Raw genomic sequence first — 26394 nt, forward strand, 5'->3', positions numbered from 1 at the left:
AAGTCTCCACTGAGCTGCAGCCTCCCGTATGCTCCTGTGCCTCTGTACATATCACTATCTACACATGGCAGCCTTCACTTGTGACTCTGGGTTCACGTATCTATCTCTCTAATTAGGCTTATAAGTTTCTTAGAGTCAGAAACTATGTTCTTCATGTTTGTATACTTAATTGGCGCAGTACTTACCATAGAGCAGGCACTCAGTAAATGTTTGTTAATTTAATTGGAATTAGCAGTGTTCTCACTTGTGTGTGTGTGTTGGGTGGGGTTGTGCAGAGAGAGATGAAGGGATAGAGATATCAAATCCATCAGCCACCATCTTATTATATTTTCACACCTTCTATCTGTCTTTAGCATTTCATCTTTTTTCTTTGAGACCCTTTTTTAGTTGATTACAATTATTTTGAAATTTTATCATCATTGAGAGTATTTGGAACATCACCTCATTTAACTTCACCTGCAAATGTAGTAAGTACATCCTTGATTATCTCATCTTAAGGCGTCAATACAGACTGAAATAGATTGGATTTTAGGACATATTCCTGTGTGAATGTTTGATAAATCTCTCCCAATGTTTGTGAGACATTTGCTTTCTCTGCTTTTGGACTTAAGTTAAATACCAACTCTTAAAGCCAGGGTCCCAATCACCATGTACAGAAGAGGACTTTGGTCAGCAAACCCTCTCACAGAGAAAAAGACCTTGTGTACACAGGGACTAGCAAGAAACTCAGAATGCTTTTATTTTTCACATAGTTAAATGAAGATACTATTCCTACACTGCTAGCCCAGAATGATTTTGGCACTTCATGGGCCTTATGTGTGGAAAGATGACTAAAGTGACCTCCTCCGGCATTCCTAAGATCTGCTGTCACTCAAGGCTCTTTGTCAGGACACGTCTGCTGCCAGCCTTCCTATGGAGCTGAGAATTACAAACACCACATAGATGCCTTGTCATTAGGTAATGTCAAATCCAACTGGAGAACGTAACTTTTGATTGTCAGAAGATAAAGGAGCAGCCTGATCTTCCTTTGAGAGGAAAGAGATTCCCTTGCACTGCTCCAACAGCTTCTTATAAACCCTGTGCTGAGGCTCACTCCTCTGGTGGTTCCCATTTCAGATGCAGTGCCATTTTGCTTAATGGCAGCTCCTAGACCAGCTAATAAGAAAGAGTAATCCATCTGCTAATGAAGAGTGGTTGTGCCAAGGACATATTTCTTCATGAGAAATTTATTACCAGGAGTATATACATTAGAGGTGATATACAAATATGTTGCCTGGCCTGAAAAGAGTACATATGAAATACAAAGGGTAATGATGAACTCCTATAAAAAGCCTCAAGCCACTGCACCTAAAATAATTCTGGGCTTGGGAGTGGTAGGAAGGGCACAGACTCTACCTTAACTGGTTGTAATTCATGTATCAAATGTGTTCAGTGTGCTGGGCATACAGGAAGGGGAAGGGGATGGATGTCATTCCAGCCCTCAAGATGCTCAGGGTGCAGTGTAGGTGTCAAAAGGCCTTAGACAAGGGACCACAGGGAGATGAGGATCTCAATGAGAACAGGAGACTCCAGGAGCTCAGAGCCTGGGGTGACTAATGGAACCAGGGTCCTGGGAAAGCTCCCTGGAGATGGAAATCAGAAACTAGAAGGTGGAGTGGGAGTTACCAAGTAAAGAGGTGAAGGGAAGAGTGTTTCTTTGGATTTAGGTAATGCCAGGGGTATAGGCTGATGTCACGTTACTCCCAGGCCAGTGATAAAAGAGAATTAAGAAGGTGGACAGTGGGGAAAATACTAGAGATGGCTAAAAATGTGCTTGGCTATCTTTCTAATCTCTTTTCCTTCCTGATTGTATTCATGGCTTGTTCTATTTAGAAAAATGCAAGCAATAATGGCTTTCTGATGATCTGCACCTGGCAGGCCTCATGGGCACATTGCCCTTCCCACATGCCCACTGGTTTTAAATATTTCTCCTTTCTTCGTACCCACCTTGACACAATGGCGGTTTTGGTCTTATCATCCTGGGTCTTGATTAAAGGCTATTTTTGCATATGTGTGCCTCTTTTTCCGTCTTTTTCATGGGAAGGTCTTTGAGGGTGGGGATTGTGTCTCCTCTAGTTTCTAGGGTAACTGTCTTCTTTAGTTCTCTTGTCTGGGAAATTCTGGGATTCTCTGCATCTTTTTAAAAAATCCTTATGCTGTTTTTAATGATCTCTTCCAAGACATGTTTCTTATCTCCTGGCAGAGAACTTCATCCACATACCAGTAATGATCTGCTGACCATTTTGTTTGGGCTGTCTATTTTTTTGTCCTTGGGTCACTGATGAACAATAGATGTGGATATACTCTAGGATGCTACCCTGGCTTTTTTTCATTGTGGGATCCTAGGGTCAGAGGGAAGGTGAAACAGTTCAAAAGAACCTACATATGCTGTGAAAAGCTGGCTGTGGTTTCATGGCCCCCACAGAGACAAAGCCTTGAAACTCTCACTCTTATGTATGGAAGGCTTCAGTTTCTAACATTAGAAACTACTGACATTCTTTGTTAGTTCTTCAGCAATTACTTGTTTACCAGAGGAAGACTGGAAAAAAAAGAAATGCAAAATAACAAAAAGCAAAGAACCAAACAAAAAATTTCAGCTGATTGAGGAATATTTGAGAATATTCCAAATTTTTAAAAAGTTTTAATTATCATTGGTTCACATATTTATGAGTATGAATTTGGAGTGTGATATTTTAAATCTAAAGTTATAGACTAGAATCATGATCAAATATAAATTTAAATTTATTTGTAGGGAGTCACTTCCATACAAATCCTCATAAAAAGGCTTTATGGAGAGAGCAGGTCATAAAATCAAGTGAAAAGGAAGAAATTAAAGACCGAAGGTTAATGTGGAGCAAAGGAAGAAGGTTTAGTGATTTATGAGACAGCTCAAGTGAGAGATCACCTCCCTTTCAAGGTTCACATGTCTAATGGAGACACTGGGCTGGCCAGCAGTGAGTGTGTGAGTGTGTGTGTGTGTGCGTGTGTGTGTGTATACAAGTGTGTGCAGGGGAAGGGAGAGAGTGTCAGGGCTGGGTGGGTGGACAGTAAAGAGGTCTACCAAATACTGAGAAAATGACTTGGGATACGCATATCAAGAAAGCATCCTTTAACTTATTTTGGATTTGGCTAGATCACCATCTTTTTGTTGAAGCCACCTGAAAGCAATTGACCAGATGGAAATGTCAGACTGACAATAATATCTATTATTTGTATAACCTAGTTTCAAAACCATTTATATAAGCCATCTAAGTACATTTGGGTTGTAAGGAAAATTACAGCAAGTCAGGTTTGCTTCTGCCCATCCTAGGTTACTATCTCTTATCTTGGAGGCAGAAAGAGAGTTTAGAATTTCCTTGGTCTTATCAGCAGACCAGTACACACACCACCACCTTGTACACATACACATGCAGAAAGCACAAAATGAGGCAATAACATGAGATGCTGCAGAAAGCAGAGAGCAAATGAATACAGCCGTACTTGGGGGTGAATGGAAGACACATAAATGCATTGACTCTTATCAAAACCTAATAAATGGGCTGTGTGAAAAGTCCTGATCTCTGCAAGAACAAAAAGCTTTATAAACGAAGACACTCAGAGTGCTTGGGGAAAGAAATCAACATGGAGAGAAAAGGGAGCCTCACATTTACTTAAATGCAGTGGGTACTATGAATACTCTGTATTAGAGGATCAAGTTGAAGACAGTGGTACTGAGGAACTAAAAATTAACCACATTTTTTCTGGAAAATTACAAGAAGTTGCCCATATCAGGTATATTTCCTGTGACTTTCTCCTCTACTTGCATATTTGTTCTTCCACCATGACCACCACGTGAAGCTTTGATTTGTGTAGACAGTTGTTTAATTCCGTCCAGACTGCCAGAAGCCAATGGTGGTAATGGAAAACATAAATAGTGTCTTTTAATTGTGTTGGAAATTCCTCCATATGCTACCTTTTAGCTTCTGAATACCTGATGGTAAGTTCGTTAATGAACTTTAGTAGTGAATCCAACGGGACCATAAATGGTCTTTTGTTTATTATTTTTAATTGAGACTGTCTGACAGCTTTATTTAAAATACTTTCCCACAGAAAAGAATGGAGATTTCTATGGTAATGTGAGACTGCTTGTTTTATAGAACAGATGACAATGTAGATTTCACTATTTTGGAGTTTCTGGTGTGAAGTGTATTTTTGTCCACGGCCTCCTGCTTTGTGTAGGTGGCAAACAGGGCATTTTAAAAATACAAACTGTCAGACTTCTAATTTAGGGAATCAAGTAATAGGTACAAAATGATATATGCAATCTAAACACAAAAATTGAATATGTCTTTCCTTTCTTTTTGGATAATTATTGTTTCTGTCCTTTTATAAGTACTTGTTCTTATAGGCATGTCTTTAAATGTTCTCCAGTGTTCTTTCTCTGACCTTATCTATTATCTCACTGGAATCAACTGCTCACTCACATTTTATGTCTACATCTATTCTAGCACCTAATGTTTGCTAGTGTACTTATTTATTTTACTGTCTGTGTTCTGGCTTGAGTGTGAGCTTCTCAAAGACAGAAAATGTGTTATTTCTTTTTATAGCTCTTATACTTAACAACAGCTGGTACCTGACCCTAGAGCAGGTGCCGAGTAAATATCTAAGGTTGAATGTATTCAAGGTTCACTGATTTTTTCTATGTCTGTATTAGAACACAAGACCAGTTAGACAGCTCAGGCTATGCAAGTCATAATCAGACTTGACCTTGCTTAACTTACACAAGAGTGTGCTGCAGGAGTTCTGTCAACATGGCAGCATGGCACGGGGCTAGGAAACTGTGTGCATGTTAGAAGTCAGTAATACTGTCCCAGGTGATAGCCTTCAGTGTAGAAGCCAGAAGGCCTTGTATACCTGTGAGCAAGCTAGAGAGGCATATTACTTTCCTGACGTGTCCTTGGGGAAAAGATTCCAGCATAGAGAAGTTATTTAAGACAGCTAGCTATAGGTTAAACACTGGCTATGTGAGGCCAGGCAAATATTTTCCAAATAAAATGTTTTCCTAGGCCTTGAAAACACAGTTTCAAAGATCAAGATATTTATTTCAAAGAAACTGTCTTCAGCTGGTAACCGAATTCATCACCTTGCCCCTCTTGTAAGCCAGTTTTGCTCTTGAATTTAATCTTACTACGGATGACAACATCATTTTCCCAGTCACCCAGACTTAACATATTAGAGTCATTTTGTTCCCTTTTTGTAAAACTTCCTCCTGGACTTTGAAATTCTGTAGGTTTAACTTCAACATGAAGCTTGGTGTCCATCTCTTTCTTCCAGTTTTACCATCACTGCCCTTCAGCTCATTTGGCCTTGGCGACTACCAATTATTGCTTCCAACGAGTTCCTCACTCAGGAGATGATATAGGGTCTTCTAAGACTCTCAAAGGACTTGGGCATTGTCCTCATATATTAACAATTTTATTTCCCCAAACAACCTGACAACCTCCTGAGATAAACAGAAACGATGCACTTTCTATCTGATACATTTTTTTTTTTCTGAGACAGAGTCTCGCTCTGTCCCCGAGGCTAGAGTGCAGTGGCGTGATCTACGCTCACTGCCACCTCTGCCTCCTGGGTTCAAGTGATTCTCCTGCCTCAGCCTCCTGAGTAGCTGGGATTATAGGTTCCCACCACCACACTTGGCTACTAAAAATTTTTTGTATTTTTAGTAGAGATGGGGTTTCACCATGTTGGCCAGGCTGGTCTTGAACTCAAGTGATCCACCCACCTTGGCCTCCCAAAGTGCAGGGACTACAGGCATGAGCTACTGCGCCTGGCTGGCTTTCTTTCTTTCCTTCTCTTTCTTTCTTTCTTTCTTTTCTTTTCTTTTCTTTTCTTTTCTTTTCTTTTCTTTTCTTTGTTGTTGTTTTTTGTTTTTTTTTAGAGACAGGGTCTTGCACTTTTGCCCAGGCTGGAGTGCAGCGGGGTTATCTTGGTTCATTGCAACCTCTGCCTCCCAGGCTCAAACAATCCACCCATCTCAGCCTCTCTAGTAGCTGAGAACACAGGTGTGTATCACCACGGCCAGCTATTTTTTTTTTTTTTGTATTTTTTTGTAGCGACAGGATTTTTCCATGTTGTTCAGGCTGGTCTCGAACTCCTGGGCCCAAGCATCCTGCCCTCCTCAGCCTCCCAAAGTGCTGGGATTACAGGTATGAGCCACTGCACCCAGACTTAAACATTTTTTAATTGACTGAAATACAACTAAAATGTTCAGTGACTTGCCTAAGGTCATGGGCCAAATACAGCGACTCCAAAGTTTTAAAATGCTTCCATTTTCACAACATTTATTCAATGACTCATTTAGCAAGTATTTGTAAGTATTTACTATGTGCCTAGGGTGTAGGAACTAAAATTAAGGCTCAATATTACGTGCTGCCTTAAAATCTGATAAAATCATGCAGGCCTTGAATGGCCTAAATACAAGCTGTCCTTCCCATTCTGCCTCTGTAGATAAGGTCCCTTGGTCAAACACTCTTCTTTATCAAAGGGACTAAGTAAAATTTCTGCTTATTCCTCATTAGTATGCTTCAGTTCCCTGCCCTCCTGCAAAATTATTCAAACAAGCCAATCACATTGTCTCATGAGAACCAGGGGACACTCTACCCTCTTGGAACTACAAAGCTGGCCTTTCATAGTAGTTATTTGCTTTACTCCCAAGTGTAACTCCTATATGGCCCTGTGTGGTATCCTTCTCCCCTGGACTTTGTGTATACATGACTAATAAACTGCTGTCCATCTCGTCTATCCAGTGTGGGTGTCATGTGGTCAGCCAACCCTACAGTGCTACGGTGGGAATCCCTCCCTCACCAACAGGGTGAATAAGAAGCAATTAAAACAGTGCCAAGGCTGGGCGCGGTTGCTCTCACCTGTAATCCCAGCACTTTGGGAGGCTGAGGCAGGCGGATCACAAGGTCAGAAGATCGAGACCATCCTGGCTAACACGGTGAAACCCCATCTCTACTAAAAATACAAAAAATTAGCCGGGCGTGGTGGCGGGCGCCTGTAGTCCCAGCTACTCAGGAGGCTGAGGCAGGAGAATGGCATGAACCCAAGAGGCAGAGCTTACCGCGAGCCGAGATGGCACCACTGCACTCCAGCCTGGGCGACAGAGTGAGACTCTGTCTCAAAAAACAAAACAAAACAAAACAGTGCCAAGCATGCAAACTTTAAATTGGAGTAAGTTCAAAGACAGTATATTTTGGAGTCAAAGGCAGTATATTTTGGAGTCGGCCACCTCTGTGTACCTCAAATTATGGAAGAAACATATACCAGAGCTTTTACCCATGAATTAAGGAAAGCATTGGCATCAAGGTTCTCCCAGTACCACAACTGCATTGGTGAGTTTTTTTCTGGAATGCAACTCATAGGGTGAAAGGCAAGAGGAACAGCTGACTTTGTGTTCCACTACCCTAGTGAGCTTACATGAAACAAATCTTCTAGTTCTCTCTGACATTAGTAGCAAAATGTAATATGTCCATTCTCAGCAGCATTCTATGATGCATGTGGCTTTTCCTGGGAGATCAGAGAGGCTCCAGGGTTATGAAAGTGGAAGCAATGCACATTTTTTTTGTGTGACTGTAAGTGAACATCAGTGCTTAGTTATAAGCATTGGGGAGTTGTCCAGTTGCTGATTTTGGCTTTAGTGGAATACTTCCATTGGATGCTGCATGACCAGAAATGTCTAAATGAATCAATCGTATGGAGTGAAGTTATGATTTCATGAATGGGACAGTAAGAGAAGATACCTAAGGGGGTGCCCAGCAAACGTTTGTTGTGTGAGTGAAGCTTTAGCTGAGGAAAACTACTAATGTTATGTCCAGCCCCTTTTACTCATTCATATAAATGAAAAGGTATCGTTGCAAACTTAGAAGTTTCTGCCTCCAAAAAGATGATTAAGAGTGTACTTCATTTAAGAGAAACTGAACTGATGGTCAGGAAGGCAGAATTGAATTGTCAATATAATCATTGTGTTAATTCAGTATTTGTCCAATCTATGTCTCATATGTGAGTATGCATTGCAAGGAAAATGCTAAATCATTTCAATCAGTTAAAAGGAATTGTGCTGTTTCCACCTCTTGCCTATTCAAATAGAAATATCTGGGCAATGATGATATTTAAATTATATATAATTTGAAAAATATGTTTCTAAAGAATATCTACCTCTTTATATTATTTATTGGGATGCTAGTGATATTTCTAGCTTTGCATTATTCCCAAAATCAAATTCCAAAGCTTTTGGAAAAAAAAACTATTCAGGATAAGCTATATGGTTATAGGAAACATAAATTCAAGAAAATAGAGTATTACCTATATCAGTGAATATATGCATTAATCTAGTTTATTTTGTGTAGGAATTGTTTTGAAGAGGATTTCTAATTGAAGGTGGATTTGGATTTATTCTCTTGGTATTATTCAACAAAAACTAATATTGCATTGGTTCAGATAATTTCTCAGGATATTAAAAAGGAAACTAATGAAATAAATTGAGTCAACATCTAAAACATAAATGCTTTGTACTTGGTGTTCTAGTTCTCTTAATTACTGTACTTTATTTATTCTCTCCTTTGTGAGATTTCAGAGCAGTGAGGCTTTAAGTTGCTGTCTAGAAATTAGAAAAACACCAGATATTTGAGTTGTGTGGCCAGTGGGACACTGCAGCAAAAAGACTATTCGGAATAAGTTTATTTTTAAAAAGCACTGCTATCTTAAAATCTGCATCTTTAAAATGGTAATAAAAATTATTGTTATAAAATGGATCGATTTTTGTGAAAGCACACATAAAGTATAATTTAGAAAATTAAAGTTTCCTTTAATTTTACTCCATAGAGATAATCATTTTAATTACTTCATATGTATATTTTTTAGATTTTTAAAAAATAACATTTAACTTGCTTACCTAGAGAAATTGGGTAAGACTATATATATGTTCTTAAACGTGGTCTTTTTTTTACTTAACCATACATTTAGACATCTTCAATGTCAGTACACATAGATTTCATTCATTTTAATATAGTAAGAATGCTCTATACCATAAACCCTGCTTTTGTTAGTGAACACTATCAGATTGTTTTCCATTTATCATCATTTCCAACATTATTACAATGAATAGTCTTTTTCACTTATGAGAACACTTCTGTGAATTAAAATTCTTGGCATGGATATTATAGATTTAATAGTAATAGCAGTAGCCATTGGTAACTCTTGGGTCCTTATCACAGTGCCAGGTTTGCTGCTGAGCACATGCAGTGCTCAGCACTTTTTAATCCTTACAACAGTCCTGTTAGGAGGTGTATTTTTTATGTTTCTCCATTTTACCACTGAAGAAAATAAGGCTTAAAAAGATTAAATTGCTCCCCAAAGTCATCTAGCAGGTGAGAAACTAAATCCAGACTCCAACACAGGTCGTTCTGACTTTCCAGCCTATCACTGTCCTGGCCCCATCACATGCCAGCACCACAATTAGAATTGCTCCATCCACATGCTTTCTCTTTTCTCAGCTCCGCATCCCTCTCAGCTCTGCAGTTCTGGCAGCCCAATACAGTAACCTCTCAAAACCTCTTCCTTTGCCCTCATGCCTAGAGTCAGGCCTGAGCAGCCAGTCTCTCTCTCTCTTTTGTGCCGACACCCTTCCTCAACTACATATTCGCCTCCGTTCCTGACACTGCATTCCTGGCAAACAGTGCAGCATCCCTAAGTCTGAGAAAGCGAGAGGGAAAGTTCCTTCTAGGTTTCTGGGATTTATAACACCTTTGCTGTCAGCCAGCAGATTCCAGCTGACCAGCAGTCTCAGAAGCAGTCACAAAGAGCAGTTATCATCGTAAATCAAGAAGGGAAAGGCAAGAAAAATTACTGCATGTACAATATGAAAAGAGTCATAGGTGCTCTTTGGTGTTTTGAATTACACTGGCACAGCTAGTTATTGGGAGCAGCTAAATAAATAAACTGAGAGATGTTGGCATTGTCATTTGGTAAAATGCATCACAGAAAACCACCATAGTGCTGATGCTTGGACAAGCTAAGTGAACTAGAGTGTACAGGTAACACAGTATTTGCACAGGCCCTGGGCAATCTGGAAGGAGTGCATTTGTCTGGAATTTTGCACATGTCCATCATACCCTGACTGCTTTCATAATCTTTCTGTACTTCACCTATCAAACACATCTTTTTTTATCTGTTATTTCTTTTTTTTTTCTTTTCTTTTTCTTTTATTTTTTGAGGCAGAGTCTCGCTCTGTCTCCCAGGCTGGAGTGCAATGGCGCGATCTCAGCTCACTGCAACCTCTGCCTCCTGGGTTCAAGTGATTCTACTGCCTCAGCCTCCTGAGTAGCTGGGATTACAGGTTTTTCTGTTATTTCTAAGCAAAGCTGTTTTCTAACATATTTTTGTGTAGCTCTCTGTCTACTAGACTGTGAGATCTCTGTGGGTATGTATCCTATCTCATTTATCTTTTATCCTCACCTATATTTTCCTCTATCCTTTTTTCCATCCTTTCTTTTATCCCTGTTTATTAAACACCTCTTCTATGCCAAGCACTGCCAAACACATCATATCCCTGGAGGTACAATGATATGCGTGTAAGGTACAAACTCTCACTAGGTTTACAGTCTAATGAAAGTGTCAGATAACCTAGATCATTGCATAGTATCTGGCACAGAGAAGACACTCAGTAAATGCCCATTTATTGCATTTATGTATTAAATTCTTCAAAATAAGCAAACTGATTCTTAGGATTATTAACTGACTTGCTCAGTCACTGGTAGAACTCAAGTTGCAATTACCAGGTCTGCCATAATGCCATTTCCCACTAGATTGCCCACTAGTTATTATGATTGTGGTACACTCACATGAGGGTGCTATGTCACATGTCACAATCAGTGTTAATGATGATAAGAATTAGCCTGTGACACAAGTAAGTGGTCAAGGGCTGAGTCCCTTCAGTTTTCCAATGTGAGCATCTGCATGAATTTTCTAATCCATTATCCTTTGTCCAAAGGTATGTCTTCTTCTTGGCATAGGATCCGCAAATTGGCCTTCTGTCTATGCTATCTATGTAAATTATGAAAATAATTATTCCTATTTCACAAATTCCATGGTGCTGTTTTCCTCCTTAGCAGTTTTATGTTTTCTCTTATTTTATATTTTATTTACTTTCTTATGCTAGAATTGTTACCATAAAGCAAATTTTTCAGTTTAGGCACATTTAAATTATATTTAGACTATTTCCTAGTGTTTGACTATATTATAAGTAAAAGAAAAACCTCTGGGAGATACTGCTTAAAGAATGTCATTGATAAGAGTGCCCATTTGCACGAGGTGGATAAATGCAGGTACAGCGTGCAACTCAAAATCGTTCTGGGAAAGGGCGATGATGAAAAACTACTTCAGAACAATGGAATATAGCCTTCATTAGGCCTCCTCAGGGAAGGCAAAACAGAGCTTTAAAACATTGGATGATGGAAGATGATAATGACGATGCATCAGTTTTATCTTATGTAAATTACTGAAAAAAATCAAATCATTTAATCTTAAACCCACAGCTTATTGTTTGTAAGTTAGATGAGAAGGACTGAGTCACTCTTGCTTTCTCTCCACAGAGTAATAACTGTAAATCTCACTCTATATGTTCGCTTCTACGCTGCATCTTCAGCTAATAACCACCATTAATAATATTCTGCAATCAGGCTGCAGGGTTGTTAGATGGTTACTGTAGTGGGTCTGTAGGTGAACTGAATTTATTTTTTCATAAAGAAGTTAATTGGACAAGTAATTTTTGGGCGATGTCTTTGGAAATGTGTGCATTCTCAGAGTGTGTGAATGTATGTGGCACACATATGTATTTGTATAGCCTAGCAGTTTACTCAGTACACACTTTTTAGAAAACAAGATTTTTGGGTTAAAGAATATTGAGTTAAGCTTATGTGTGGGAACCTCTAAGGAAAAACAGGTCATTTTAAATATTTTGTTGACTTCAAATCAAACAGTTCTACAAATTAAAAAGAAGCTTGGCATGTGCCGTGGTAGACAATAATGTAATGAAAACAGGCCATTATTTAATTTAAACCCCTGGGAATTCTAGTATTGGTTTATATATGTGTCCAATACTTTCTCTCTGAAAATGGTGGCACAGTATAGGTGTTAAATAAATGCTGAAGATTAAAGACTTCTGCATATGTGCCCTCCGCCTCATTTGCTTATTGACAGATTTCATTTTAAAAGACCTTAGGGAGACTGAAGTGCCCCAAGCGCCCTGAACAAAGTCTGGAAGACAGTTGTCTGCAAAGTCATGCTTCTCTAGAGACAGGAAAGGACCAGACTATAGCTGTATTTAGACTATTGGAATAATTGGACTGCATATTGATAGAATGGCTTATTTTAATCATCTTAATGAGGTACCAAATCCAATAGATTACACAGAAACGAAAGGGCCTAAATACCAAGTTAGTGTCTGAACAGCTAATTCTATGGGGATGTATACATTATGTGAATGAAAATATTTGTCTGCATCTTTCTCATCACACACACAAACAAATACAGTTACAAATTCATATACACTAAATACCATAAGTCCCATGGGAATTATATCAGCTGCTAGAACAAACCAGAAAGGCATGGAAACAGTGCTCAATTGCAAAGAATGAAACACCAGCTTTTATGCAGCCTAAGAATTGTAGTATGTTAAAACAACCCCTAATGATTTGATGACAGGACTTCTGATTGGGCAACTGGGTAATTTGCAACCTTATCAAAACTCTGTGAATCTTTTTCTAGATTAATGCTGCTCATGAATAGATAATTCTGAGCATATTCTGCATGCAGGAAATAGAAAAGGGTAAAGCCATGAACCTAGATTTCATACAGAGAGCTATACATGAACAAAGGAATTTTTAGGTTGGCACTGTACACTATAGGTAGGAGATATGGGAAAAATATGAATAATTTCCATGAATTCCTCTAAGGACTCATATGTGAAATAGAGGAGAGGCTGCTGGGGTTTTTTTTTTTTTTTTTTTTTTTTTTTTGGTAGACTCATCTTTGTTTTGCTTTAATTTGCTCTCAGAATAAAACACAGCAGAATTGTCCTTTAGGGGGCTTTTACTATGGATTGGTTAGTTACTTTATTGACTGTGTATTAACACTCTCTGAACTACGTGTTCTGCCTGTTTTTTTACTAAATTATACTTTCCAATCTAGGCAGATGGTGGTGTCTGCTTTGGAGGCACATTTTGTTGTCCTTTTTTTTTACACGTGTCTGCTATTTCCTGGGGTCATGTCCATCTCATATTTTAGTAGTCAACAATGAAAGATTAAATTACAAAGTACAGGGAAAAGAATGTAGGATTTCATTTCGTTCATTTATTAATCCCTTAGTTAATTCTATAAAGCATTTATTTGTGTCAGATACTGTAATTAAGTGCAATTTTAAAAAATCCCAGATTTTTTATGCTCTCTCTTAGACCTGCCCAAATGATTCCATCCGTATCTCCAGAATTAGTTACTGCAATAAATTTGGTTTCCTCCAGACATTTCCTCATGTTTTTCTCTATTGTATCTTCCACTCTATTCTCTAAGTCTTTGTCTGGCTTTGCATGGCTAAAAGCCCATTCAAATGATTTTTCTGAACACAACAGCTTTCTTTTCACAGAGGTGAACTCTGATCCTTACCTTTCTGGGCACCAAGAATTAGAGGAGGGTTTGAAATTATTTTTCCCCTATATCCTGCCAAGATCTTGCTCAGTGTCCCACTCTCATCTGGTTCCTACTAGCAATCATTTCATTAAATGGAAAGCTTTTCTCAAATATTGGGGAGCCTAACCCTGATTGGATAAGGGAGAAAGAGGCATGAAAGAACAAGGGAGAGGAAAAGGCAGAGTTTAAAAGGGTCATTGTCTTTTTGCAGAAGAAACATCTTCTGCCCCTTATTCAGGACAGCTAAGAGCACTGGTTCCTCCAGAATGGGGTCCCCACTTAGTAATCGTTTAGAAGCAATCCTGAGGGTGTTGCTGTAGCTTGGTTTAATCTGTTTCATATTATTTTTTTCAAAGTAGGCAGATATAGGAACTGGGTCTCTGGAGGGTAATCCATGCCTTCCAAGAGGGCCATGCAGGTGATGTTTTTCTATCAAACCAAGGAGGTTGGTAGCTGCTCACTTCTAGCAGCACAGGAAATAAAACATTTGCAGGCTGGATGTTGCTATTACTATTCTAGATATCAGAGAAAAAGTTATAATCTTCTGAAAAGCATAATTTTTTATCTATTACATTTGAATTCTATAACTGAGTGCCTTACATATTGTCTGATCTAATCTCATTTTACGGAAAGAACTGAATCCCACAGATGTTAGCAGTAGCCTGTATTATTGAGCACGTCCTTAGCGTCAGACATACAGATATAATGTACTCTAGAGATCTTTTAACTCTCGCAACAACCCTAAACTCTAAAAAGTAGGTTCCTTGGGATTGCCATAATATATTGATAGATAAAGAGGCAAAAGCATAAGGTTAAGTAACTTGCACAAAGTCGTACAATCTAGAAAATGGCAGAGACTTGAACCTAGATCTTAATGGCTCCAAAGCCCATGCTCTTAACCTCAATGTTAAACTGTATAATCTAATAGGGTTATTATAGCTCCCAGTTCTTATGACCCTACCTTCTAATTCTCTCTCAAATCCATAGTCTGGACTAGTGATTCTCAAACATGAGCATGCACCACAGTCATCTGGAAGACTTGCCAAACACAGGGTACTGGGTCTGTGGTGGACAGACTCTAAGGTGGCCCCCACGATCCCTGTCCCTTGGTGTGCACACCTTGGTATAATCCCCTTCTCTTGTGCAAGGGATCTGTGTCTTGTTTCTAAGCAATAGAAAATAGCAAAGGTGATGGGGTGTCACCCTTACGATTACAATAGCTTATATAAGACTCTGACTTGCTAGCAGATTTATTTCAGAGAGTCTTTGCTGGATGGATGGAGTAAGTAGCCATGCTGAGCAAGCTCATGCAGCAAGGACCTGCAGGGCAGCCTCCAGATGACAGCCAGCAAGAAGCCAGGGATCACAGTCCTATAACCACAAGTGAATTAATTCTACCGGCAGCCTGAATAAGCTTGTAAGTGATTCTTCCCATGTTGAACTTCCAGAAGAGAACACAGCCTGTCTGACACTTTGATTGCAGCCCTATAGAACCCTGAGGAGAGGACTTAGCTAAGTGGTACCCAGACTCCTGGCCCATGGGAACTATGAAATGATAAATATTTTCTGTTTTAAGCTGCTAATTTTGTAGCAATTTGTTACACAGAAATAAATAACTAGCACCGCCCCCCCCCCCGCCCCCCAACCAGCCCTGAGTTTCTTACTCAGTAGACCTGGCACAATAATTTGTACTTATAAGAAGATTCCAGAGGTCAGTGATGCTACTGGTCCAGGGACCGCACTTTAAGAATCAGTTCCTAGATGTAGAGAATCCCATTATATCCTACTTGTCCTCCCTATACTTTCAAGTTTCCCTCCTCTGCCTAGAACCATCCCCCAGGCTCCTTTTGGATTAACTTCTGATCTCTCTTTAGATAAACTCATACTTACCTTTCAGTTTAAGTGTTATTTGCTCAGCAAAGCCTTCTCCCACCTCAGCCTGGATGAGGAGTCTTTGTTACACACTGACTAAAAGCACGGGCACTGAAATCCACCTGCCTGGGTTTGAATTTCAGCTCTGCCACTTACTAGCTGTAAAATCATGGGCAAATTTATTAACCTTTCTATGTCTCCATTTCCTCAACACTAAAGTGATAAGCACAGGTTACTTCATAAAACTAGGAAAGTTAATATCTTCCATATTAAAATTGGGTGATAGTAGTAGCTTACTCCATCCACCTAGGAGAGTCAAATAAGGTAAGTGCATAGTACTATGCCTGGTGAGTAAGTTCTCAGTAAATGGTGTTGGTGGTGGTTGCATTTTGTGTTGATGTTACTCTTGTGATCTCTCATAGACGCATTTACTTCACTGCTTAGAATTCTGCATTTGTTAATGTGAATGCTTATCTCACTTTCTAGATGATAAATTCCATGAGAATGAGAACCATGCCCACTCTTGCTTCTCATGTTAGCCCTAGCACTTAGGGCAGTACCTGGCAGAACAGGAATAGTAAAAAATTACAATATATATTTGATGAATGAATGAATACTCTCAGGGCTAGAGCCACACTCTGGAGGCCTATTCCCGATCATTATGCATTTTTTCCATCTGGTTGGAATGCACTTTCCTCTGTATTTAGTCCCCGAATGTACTTATCCTTTCGCCCTGCTCTTCACTCAATTGTGGTGAGATCTTATGGAGAGTCTGTTAGGTTGGTCCTTGGTCTGGGATTGCAGTGGCCTCTATACGATAGTTTGTTTTTGCCATGGAACATAGAGGAGAGTTGGTCATGGATAATTGTACTTGGGTACAAATTTTTAAAAAAGTACAAAAAAAAGCAAAACATCTTTGCTTTTTGAGATTTTCCTTCTTACTTTAATATCTTTCCAAATTTATAACACCTACCAGATGCTAATAGGACATCATTGCTCTATATCAAACTATATTAGTTCCTCTCTGAGATGAAGAAGGGTGTATCCAGAACTCAGCTACTGTTTGTCGGGCTGGACGGAGTAGGGGAAAATACATTATGACACAGCTCTCTGCAGAAGGCTGAAAAGTAGCTCAGTTCCATTCTTGATTCCAAAAAGTTAAATGAGTTTTCGTAGTTTTTTTCTTTTTCTTTTTTTTTTTTTTTACTTTCTCCCATGAGCAGCGAAAGAGGCAGCTCAGAAAACTAGTCTGCAGGGTTCTCTGGAGATGTTTTCCCTCCCTACCCCATTTCATTAACCTTTCTTCTGAAACTACTTTTGAATGTCTGGGTTTAATTAAGAGATTCTGCATGCAGTATGGAAAGAGCCCATCTCTCCTTTTGGCTTATTCCTTCATCTGATTTGGGTTGAAAATATACTTTTTTAAGAATTAGTTATAATTGTTTTTGACAAAAGAAATAGCTCTTTTTTATGTCTGCAAATCCTTAATGCTGGCTTATATGCAGCTAATGATGATAGCCATCGGCATAATCAGTTCTAATGGTCTCTACTGTCTTTCTAGCTTTGCATATAGGAATGTAATTCAAATTTCAGAAAGGCTGGGGCTGAATGGCTCTTTGTTCTGCATTTAAAATATTACTACAGTGTTCACTGGAAAGAGGTCTGTTATTACAAACTGGATTTGAGTCTCAACTTTACTTTGTAGCTCTGGGAACCTGGGTAGATTCTTGAGTTCTCTTAGGCTGTCTCCTCTCCTTTCAGATAACTTCCTGAGAAGTGGAGACTATCAAAAAACATTGTGTATGAAAGGATTTTGTATGCTGTAAAGTGGTGGGGTTTTTGTTTGTTTGTTTTGTTTGTCTGCTTGTTTTTTGCTGTTGTTGTTGCTTTTACCTAGAAGTGATTATTATTTCTAATTCAAATCATCCTCCCAAAGATTTTTTTTGAATTTCTTTGGATGTTGCATTGAAGGAAAAAAGCTCAATTTTTATCCTGAGTTTTAAAAAATTAGACAGTAAAACCTTAAATTGGTTAGCAGTTGCAGTTTATAAAGCATTCATAGAATTCATAAAACATTTTCTCACACATTAGCCTGTTCCCAGTCTTCTGGAGGAAAGGGGCTGCTGATCTTGCTAGGCAGCTTGATGTATATATTTCATTTAATCCAGAAACCTTACAAGATAGCTAAAATTAGCTTCACTTTTTAGATAGGAAAACTTAGGATCAAGGTCCAAGGTCATAAGGTTTGAACTCCCATCTTTATAATTCATCATTTCCTTGACCTCGGTGGCATAATTCTCTTCTGTGAAGAGGATTGTAAATAAAACAGTTAGGGGCCTTGAGTTTGCCTAGAGGACCATTATTGAAATTCTTCTTTCAAATCTTAACGTTTCCCTATGTTAGCAGAGAAAAATGGGATTAGGAAGGACCTTTAATGATTGATTCCTCTACTTAGATGTCAAGAAAGGCCATTGTAACCACAGCAAAGATTTAGCACTCAAGTACTCTAGCTTAGTGACTCTCAGCTGGTGCCAATTCTCCCTTCCTCCTGTCCCTAAGGGACATTGGCCTATATCTGGAGCCATTTATTTGCCACAACTGGCCAGGTACTATGGGTATCTAATGGATAGAGACCAGAGATGCTGCAAAACCTACTGCAATACACAGGAGAGCCCTACCTTTCACACAAAGAATTGTAAGTCCCAACATATTAATAGTGCTCAGCTGAGAAACCTTGTGGGAAGAATCAGGAAGGCTTCCTGGAGAATGGGGATACTACAACTGGGATTTTGAAGATAATTTAAAATTCTCCAAGCAGACAATGGAAGGAAAGGCATTCCAGACAAAGAGTATGGCATTTGAAAAAGTATAGAGGCCTGAAATAGTGCTGTATATGTAGGAATTTCTGGGCTCTTTGGCATTGCTGTAGCATTTCTGGGAGGAGCAGTAGGGGGATGACATTAGAGCAATGTGTTGAGTTTCTTTTCTCCAACAGTAATTCACATTAAGAGTAGAATTGTAAATTCGTTTTGTTCCTGAGGATAATTCTTTCTGCTAGACAACCTGTGACCATTGTCACCAGTTCTTAAGAGAGTCATGCAGAGACTACTCTTGATCGATGATACAGGTGGGTAGCCTGGCCATGGCTCTTGACAGACCTGTGCTTATTTTCTTTCAGTGGGCACCTATAAGGATTGAACCACAGGAAGGTGATGTACCACCCTGAGCTGAATACTTCCTCACTAGCTTTTTTGTATCCACAGCCCCTGTATCCATCTGCGTGGTCTATATTCCAAAGTAGTTTGATGGGGCAGCATGCAGAAGTGTGTTCTTATGCAGTAATATAGTGGTACTCAGTGTGTTCTTATGCAGTAATTGCTCTCCAGCCAAAGCAATTTGCTAGACCTAGGTGATTCTGAACTAATTTGTAATTATATATGTACTCCTATTACAGAAGATTGCCCTCCTTTGTGTTTTAACACAGCTTCAATTTGGTTAAAATAATCCTATTTAATGAATGCTATTCATCAACTATATATATATTTCCATCCATCCATCCATCCATCCATCCATCCATCCATCCATCCATCCATTCATCCATCCATCCATCCATGCTCACTAACCTTGGTTTGAGTTTGAGTCCTGGCTTTAGCATTTGCTTGCTGTGTGACTACTGGCAAATGCTTTAACCTCTCTAAGATGCAATTTCCACATCTTTAAAATGGAGATCATAATAATTAGCAAGGTTGTATTCTGTACCAGAGATAATACGTGAATAATCTAAAACAGTGATGTATTAGTAGTAGTAGATTTGCTAAATAAATGGTAGCTTTATTATTATTGCTACTATGACAATGATGATGACAGTGTCCAGAGCACTTTAATCTATGGTTTGGAAGATAGGAAGGTTGATAAATCCCTTCCTATCTTTTGGAGTTCATACTGGGAGCTTCCCCTCTCCAGCCCAACATAATTGATACCACATGGTCCCAACATCTAAATCTGGTACCAACCCTGTGGCAGCAACAGAAAGCCTGAGCTTTGTGACCTTGGGTAGGTTATTTAACTTCTCTGAGCATCACTTGGTAATTTGCAAGAATTAAATGAAATAAAACATTTAAAATTCTTGGCACTCAGTAGATGCTGAACAAATGCTGGTTCCCTTCTCCCTGAGGCAGTCATCATCAAGATGTTCTGTGGGTTTCACTGCTGGCAAAAACAAATGAGGTTAAATAAAAGTCAGAGGTGAAAATAAGAGGAGTTAACAGAGTTTCTGTTTTGTTTTTTCTTTACATTTTCTACAATTTACAGAGATTCTTCTCTCCCTCAAACTTAAGTAGATTTCAAACGACTTGTCATTCTCAAGGTGAAATTTATTTTTATGCTTTCTTCTCTAAGTCTAGTCAAGACGTTTCTCATAGATGGGTTTGACCTTTGATGGAGATGTCTCAAACCTGCCTGCACCATTCTCCAGAAATGAATATTTTTTCCCCAATCCTAGCTTGAATTCTCAGAATTTCTCCTCCAGATAAGTCACTTCTGCCCTGGCCTCTTGGTTTGTTTGCATTAGACCCTCAGATAATGGGCAGAAGTTTCCTCCCTATGCCCAGAGCTCTTGCCCTTTGGCTGTTGGCCTTACTCTGAGCTGCAGACACTGGCTCCTTACTGGTGGTGTTCCTGCCTTAAGTACTTAGAGTTCCCCTGGCCTGGACTGAACTCTGCCTAGAACTCAGATCTCTTAAATAAGCTTCCTCTCAATCTTTTGTTATTTTCACAGACACCTGCACGGCTTGCTGTGCTTTGAATACACTAACACTTCACTCATGCTGACTGGATGGGTCTTCCACACTCAAGGATGGGCTTGAATGTTCCTTCTAGGCCTCAACTGGGAGGACTCTGCTTCTTCCCATGTGTCACATAGCACTTGTAATACTTACAGTGTGTGTCCCCAGCAAGATTTTTGAGTTCCTAGGTGACAGGAGCTATGAAGAGTCAATCTGCTCTGAATCCTTTAGGATGTGGCCTAGTGCTTATAATTAAGGAGACAGAGAAGGAAGCAAAAGGGACTAACAGACGTGCTGAAGGCTAGTGGTAACAATGCAGCATGAGTTGATGGCTCAAACTTCATTCTATTAGTACCCCTGGGAATGAACCACATGGGAAGTGAAGACACCAGGAGATACAGGAGTTTCTGAGGCTGAACAGGAATCAGCAGTGGGCTGCAAGAATGACCTAGTGGAATGAGCAGAAGCTACACAGACCTGAGAGAAGTCTTAATTCTGTCATTTAACAGCTGTATGATCTCATGCAAATTGTGTAAGTTATCTGATTCTATTTTTTTTTTTTTTTTGGTAAAAATGTGATGTTTTGGTTTGTTTTCACACTGCTATAAAGAAATACCTGAGAATGGCAGGAGAGAGAGAGTGAGTGCAGGGGAAAACTTATATTTTAAACCATTAGATCTCATTGAGAACTCCCTCACTATCACGAGAACAACATGGAGGAAACTGCCCCCATGATCCAACCACCTCACACCAGGGTCCCTCCCTCAACATGTGGGGATTATAATTCCAGATGAGATTTGGTTGGGGACACAGAGCCAAACCGTATCATGTGGCTACTATCATCTACTTAGGGATAATGCATTTGGCCCATAATAGTCACTCAATAAAATATCATTATTGTTAATTTTGGAATGGAGGATGTACATACCCAAATATATGAGTGAATTTCATGTTGTCTCCAGCATATAAGTATTACATTGTCTGAGTACACTGTAGCTTCTACTTTTATAACTGTGATCACCATGTATAAACTACATGTAACAAACATGTAGTGTGTCAATCACTGTGTGGGTACTTTTATGCATCTTCTTATTTAATTTTTAATAACTGTAGCATAAGAGTTTCCGTTATCATACATATTATAGAGATGAGGAAATTATTACAATATTTAGGCAACTTGCCCAATATTTCTCATAATTAATAATTGGGATTTATAGCCAAGCCATCCTATTGCAGAACCTGCCCTCCTTGCCAGTATCCTAAATGCTGCTTCCAGTGTTGTCAGGAAACACTTAACAGAACATGTGGAAAATGTGATTCCTACCTTATAAAATCTTATATTTCAAGGCTCCCAATATTGACCATCAGGAACGGTTCATAGGACCAGGTAATCCCAACACATTAATAACCCTAATACATGAATTATTTGTTTGAATAATGAGACCACGAAACATTATATAGGGACAGCATGAAAACTGATTTAGGAAATGAATTTTTGATATTCTTCTTTAAAATGCTCAGGTTAGCAGATATACATACTGATTTGCAATAGAAAGAAAATCAACAACCATGTAGCGTGGTTTTTTTTCTTTCCTGCTAGTCCATAACCTTCTCAAGCATATGCAGCATCTTCTGTTTAATAATAAATTATTGTATTTGCCTAGCAAATTATACATTTCAAAGAGGTTTTGTAAACTTGTCTTATTTGATCCACATAGCAAAGCAGCGAGGTAGACAGAACAAGGGACAGTATTCTTTATGAGTAGATGAAATGGCTGAGGTTCTTAGCAAGGGTTAGTTATCCAAGGTCACACAGTTAATTAGTGACAGAGCTGGGGCTGGAATCCAGGTTTCTCTGCCCAGCGCGCATCTCCCAAATGCCTAGTTCAGTGGGATTGGACAGCTGCAACAATTTGTGTACAATGAAGTGTTCAACAAATGTTGACTGGCTTGTTTGGCTCAAAACAATTGAAGATATTTTTCACTATGATTTTCATTGTTTCTCTAAAGTAGCTTAGGAGCACATTATCTCTAGTTTGCTGGTGTGGAGGAGAGAAGCAGAAAGCAACCATTGATCAGCTTTGAAAGTTGTTTACTGAGACACCTAGAAAGTTTTCAGAGGAGAGAAGTTTGCTGTTTCAATCATTGACACATGGACTATCCTGTCTTCAGTCATAGCTGGGTATAATCTCCCTGTACCTAGTAAAATGGAGTTCAGCTTTACATTGCAGAGAACACCCATCCAACTCCAGTGATTTCTGAGACATAACATCCAAAACAAGATCCTCAGAGAGTAATAACACTATGTACACAGTGTACTGTTTTTTCAGACCCTTGATAGAGTAATTTAACAGAGCTGTGTAGTGTGAGCTACATGGGCTGGAGATGATTTTGATTCTTAATTCTCAGCTATTTGAACCCAAATCAGCTGGTTTAAATCAGAGTTGAAGAGACACTTCCAAGTGTTAGCTATTTATTTTGGTAACCTGCAAAATCTTTACTAGACATGCATTTTCTGTAGTGTTGATCCATCCAAAAGATGAGCACAACCAATTTTCAGTGTGTAAATTTGGAGACTGTTGATTGATTAAATCTGTTGTGCGCATTTGGGTGAGGTCTTCAGTTAGGGTCACTTGGCCAGCACATAACCACCCTTTCAACCGTCTTACCTACCGAATGGACAATTAATACAAGCTGCTGGGTTTCGTAACGTATGTAGCCTTTTGCTTAAAGAGTGTTCAGGCTAAATCGAGATTTTGCTCAATTCTACCCTCAGTGCCTAATGCATAAGAGTCAGTAAATATTTGTTGCATGAATACAATATAGTGTCATAAACCTTCTCCATCTGTGCCCCCTGCCTCTCCACCGCACCCTCTGCTGTTCCCCCTCCCTACTTCTAACCTGGGACCACACTTTTTATTGCTTCTTAGAAAATATCTTCTTCCATAGCCCCATCTCTTGCCTGGTGATCTTATTCATCCTGGGAACCCAGATTACATTTCCTTCCTCCGTGGGACATTCACACATGCCCAAATCAGAGTTCACAGTGACCCCCATGTGCCTCTTCTCCCCCTGCACTTATTGTCACCTATCTGGGATGGGGTTGCTCTATGTGCTGCTAGGTTGTAACCGTGACTGCGGTGAGCCTCTGTTTTATTCTCACTTGTAATTCTGTCTCTAGGGCAGTGGTGGGGACACTGTGGACACTTACTAATTCCTTGTTGGGTTGAAGGAAGGAAGGAATGATGCCTGCAGCCCCACGGTGTTAGATTTGCAAATCACTTTAGGAAAGGAGGAAAGGGGTTATGTTTTATAATATGAGAGTTGAGTTTTAAGAGACTCTCTGGTTTTATTGGAGAGTGCCAGAAGAGGCACTGAAGGCAACACCCCAGACCTGGGAAAGGTTAAAGATTCTGGTTTTCATTCACTGCAATGATCCTAAACATGACTCCCGTGCTATTTCCACTTTACAAGCTTCACAATGATGACTTCAACACTCAGTGCACCCCAGGCTGGCCCTTGTTTGGCCTCCTCACTTGGATCAAGTGTATTTCGAATGGAACCTGACTTAGGTGATGCGATTCAGTAGCATTTGTCTGGAGTTTGTCTGGAATTCTATAGCCTAGATTAGGTTTCTCTAGTACTAGTTTCCATAGACGCCTGGGCTTCCCCTTCCATACCTAATTTAGTGCCCAGCTAGTGTCACATTTCTGTCCCCTTAGCCTTCCATGGCACCAGAAAAGGGACCACAACCCCCTTTCTGCTGCCTGGCACTCACATTCTGAGCCCTTTTGTTAGATAATGAGTTTGTATCAAGAGGGTTACTTCTACAGAGAAGATACAAATTCAAGTTAATGTCTGTGCATTTTAAATGCCACCAACAGATGCGTAATGAAGAGCTCTTGGTTGGAAAAAATAATATTTTTTATGGAAAACTCTACACAAATAGAAGCTGAAGTTGATGCAGCTCTTGCACATACATTTTTCTCTTTTAATTTTCTTGACTCCCTTGTGAGGTGTCATTCTCATCTCCATCTTATAAAGAGGGAAACTGAGGCTGTGAGAAATGTAATAGTTGGCTGGAGGTCACACAGCTACTTAATGACAGAGTCACAACTTGACCCAAGCCTGTCTCCAGATTTATGATATGACATCATCTGATAATTATTGAGGTGACACAGTTTAAATTAGTCAGAAGCTATCTATCAATAGGACAAGGATACTATATGAAGGAATCCAGCTTGTGGTCAGTTTTGTAAGGTCTCACTTAAAAGCAAATTTGGAGGAGAGAGGGCTTTTCTAAGTCTCTTCTCTCTACAGCCCAGCAATTAGATGGAGCCTCGGATGAGGTGGTTTGTAATCTTTAATATCGGTAGCATACTTCTGGGGGAGACTTTTCTGCAAGCGAAACAGGCATAAACACAAGAGAATCTGGTTTTCAGATCCCTTTTATGTTGACTCAACAGATATTTATGATAGTCTTTGTTGTTCCAAATTCACATGCTGAGGCCTGGGGGTAGAGTGGTGTGGCAGGGACAGATGGACCTGCTCCTACTCTCAAAGAACTGACCATCTAACATTTTACTCACTGTTACTCTCTTGCTCTTATTTTTTTTTTCCACAAATGGGACTTTTTATCTACCACTATTAAAAGTCTGAACTTTAAAAAGATTTTTGGGCTGGTGATCCATATCCATCAGCTCATTCAACTTAGCACCACTTTCATTCCCAGTAGCTTTTCCAGAACTTCTGCCTTCTCCATGAAGCTCCATGAGTTTTCCCAATTCAAACTTGGGCTTCTTCAGCATTTTTACTTTTCTAACAAAAACATCATGAAGAGGATAAATAGATCGGCAAGCCTTTTCTTTGTCTTTTCCGATGCTGTCTGGAATCTATTTATTGACCATTTCTTTCAAATTATTTGTCTGTACCTCTCAGGTCATGACTTCCTTCAAATTTGGTGGACCTGTTGGTGCTGAGTGTAAGAGGTCCTCTGTCTCTGGTATCTGACCATTGCACATTTTTAGTAAAACTGACACAGAACAGACAAAGCAAATAACCATCTATAGTTTTAACAGCAACATGAGCTTCAATAATGATCTGCCACTTTTTGACCATGAAACACATTTTGTCATGGGCAAGATTCATGTCATGGAAGTTTTCAGGCAGTTTTTGCCCTGAACATCTTTAGTAATTGGCTTGAATTTTCTGAATGCAATTTCATCATTCTGCACATCACCAAGACTCACCTCAATCAGTCCACCCTTGAAGCCATCAGATACAAAATCGGTTCCATGAGTCCCTATGACCAGTGCCTTTCCAATATTTCTTATACTGAACATAGCAGGTGCTTTTACATTATACCAATATATCTTAGAAAATGAAGCAACCACTTTCTTCTCGGTTCCCTTTTTGCCACCTTTTGTATGGCACTTGTTCTTGCTAACCGTCATGGTGCTGCTCAGAGAGCCAAAAGGCTATCTTTCTCTTAAAAGTAACTTTAACCTTCATGTGTTTATAGAGATGTAAACTGCTATTCCTTTTATTTTTTCAATTTTATATTTTGTTATGTGTTATTTTGGTATCATTCATTTAGCAAGCATTTATTGAAGACCTACTCTGCACCCTACCTTGTGCTGGGTGCTGTTGATACAGAGGCAGTTACTACACAACCTCTGACCTTGAGTAGGTATGTCAAAAGGGAAGAGAATGGTAAGTGCTTTATTAATCGTACACAAAATTTGTTTTGGAAATACAGTGGATGAAGTTACTAATTCTGCTAAGGAGAGACAGGAAAGGAATTGGGAAAGTCTCTATATGGTGTGGGCTGGCCCAATTGTCTAAGTTCATTTCCTGAGTGCTGGCTTGGAATCATGTATTTTATTATATAAAGTGCAACTGCCATTTACTATTTAAAGATTAATTAAAAGTGATTACCTAATGAAATCTTAATAAATAGTACCCAGTAGAGTAT

General features: G+C 39.3%; 1 protein-coding gene and 1 pseudogene across 12 annotated transcripts in view, besides 1 other annotated feature; one reads left to right on the forward strand and one right to left on the reverse strand.

The window, feature by feature from the left end:
- FAT3 (FAT atypical cadherin 3) overlaps positions 1 to 26394 on the forward strand; it is a 671656-nt gene that overhangs the window by 248244 nt on the left and 397018 nt on the right. Inside the window, exon 1 of one of the 12 annotated variants that reach the window (XM_017017185.2) lies at positions 13099 to 20952. The exons of the other annotated variants lie outside the window; for them this stretch is intronic. Within the exon in view, the coding sequence (XP_016872674.1) occupies positions 20877 to 20952 (76 nt within the window). The 5' untranslated portion in view covers positions 13099 to 20876. Of the gene's footprint in view, positions 1 to 13098; positions 20953 to 26394 lie in introns of those variants that run through there. 12 annotated transcript variants of the gene reach the window in all.
- Positions 3449 to 3649: a silencer, noted in NCBI's record as "peak1397 fragment used in MPRA reporter construct". NCBI's record gives its function as "represses an SCP1 promoter by STARR-seq MPRAs in K562 erythroleukemia cells {active_cell/tissue: K562}" and the evidence as "EXISTENCE:reporter gene assay evidence [ECO:0000049][PMID:32103011]".
- RPS3AP42 (RPS3A pseudogene 42) lies at positions 25040 to 25897 on the reverse strand (annotated as a pseudogene).

Source organism: Homo sapiens, chromosome 11, assembly GCF_000001405.40.
Source record: "Homo sapiens chromosome 11, GRCh38.p14 Primary Assembly".
Classification (NCBI taxonomy): Eukaryota; Metazoa; Chordata; class Mammalia; order Primates; family Hominidae; genus Homo; species Homo sapiens.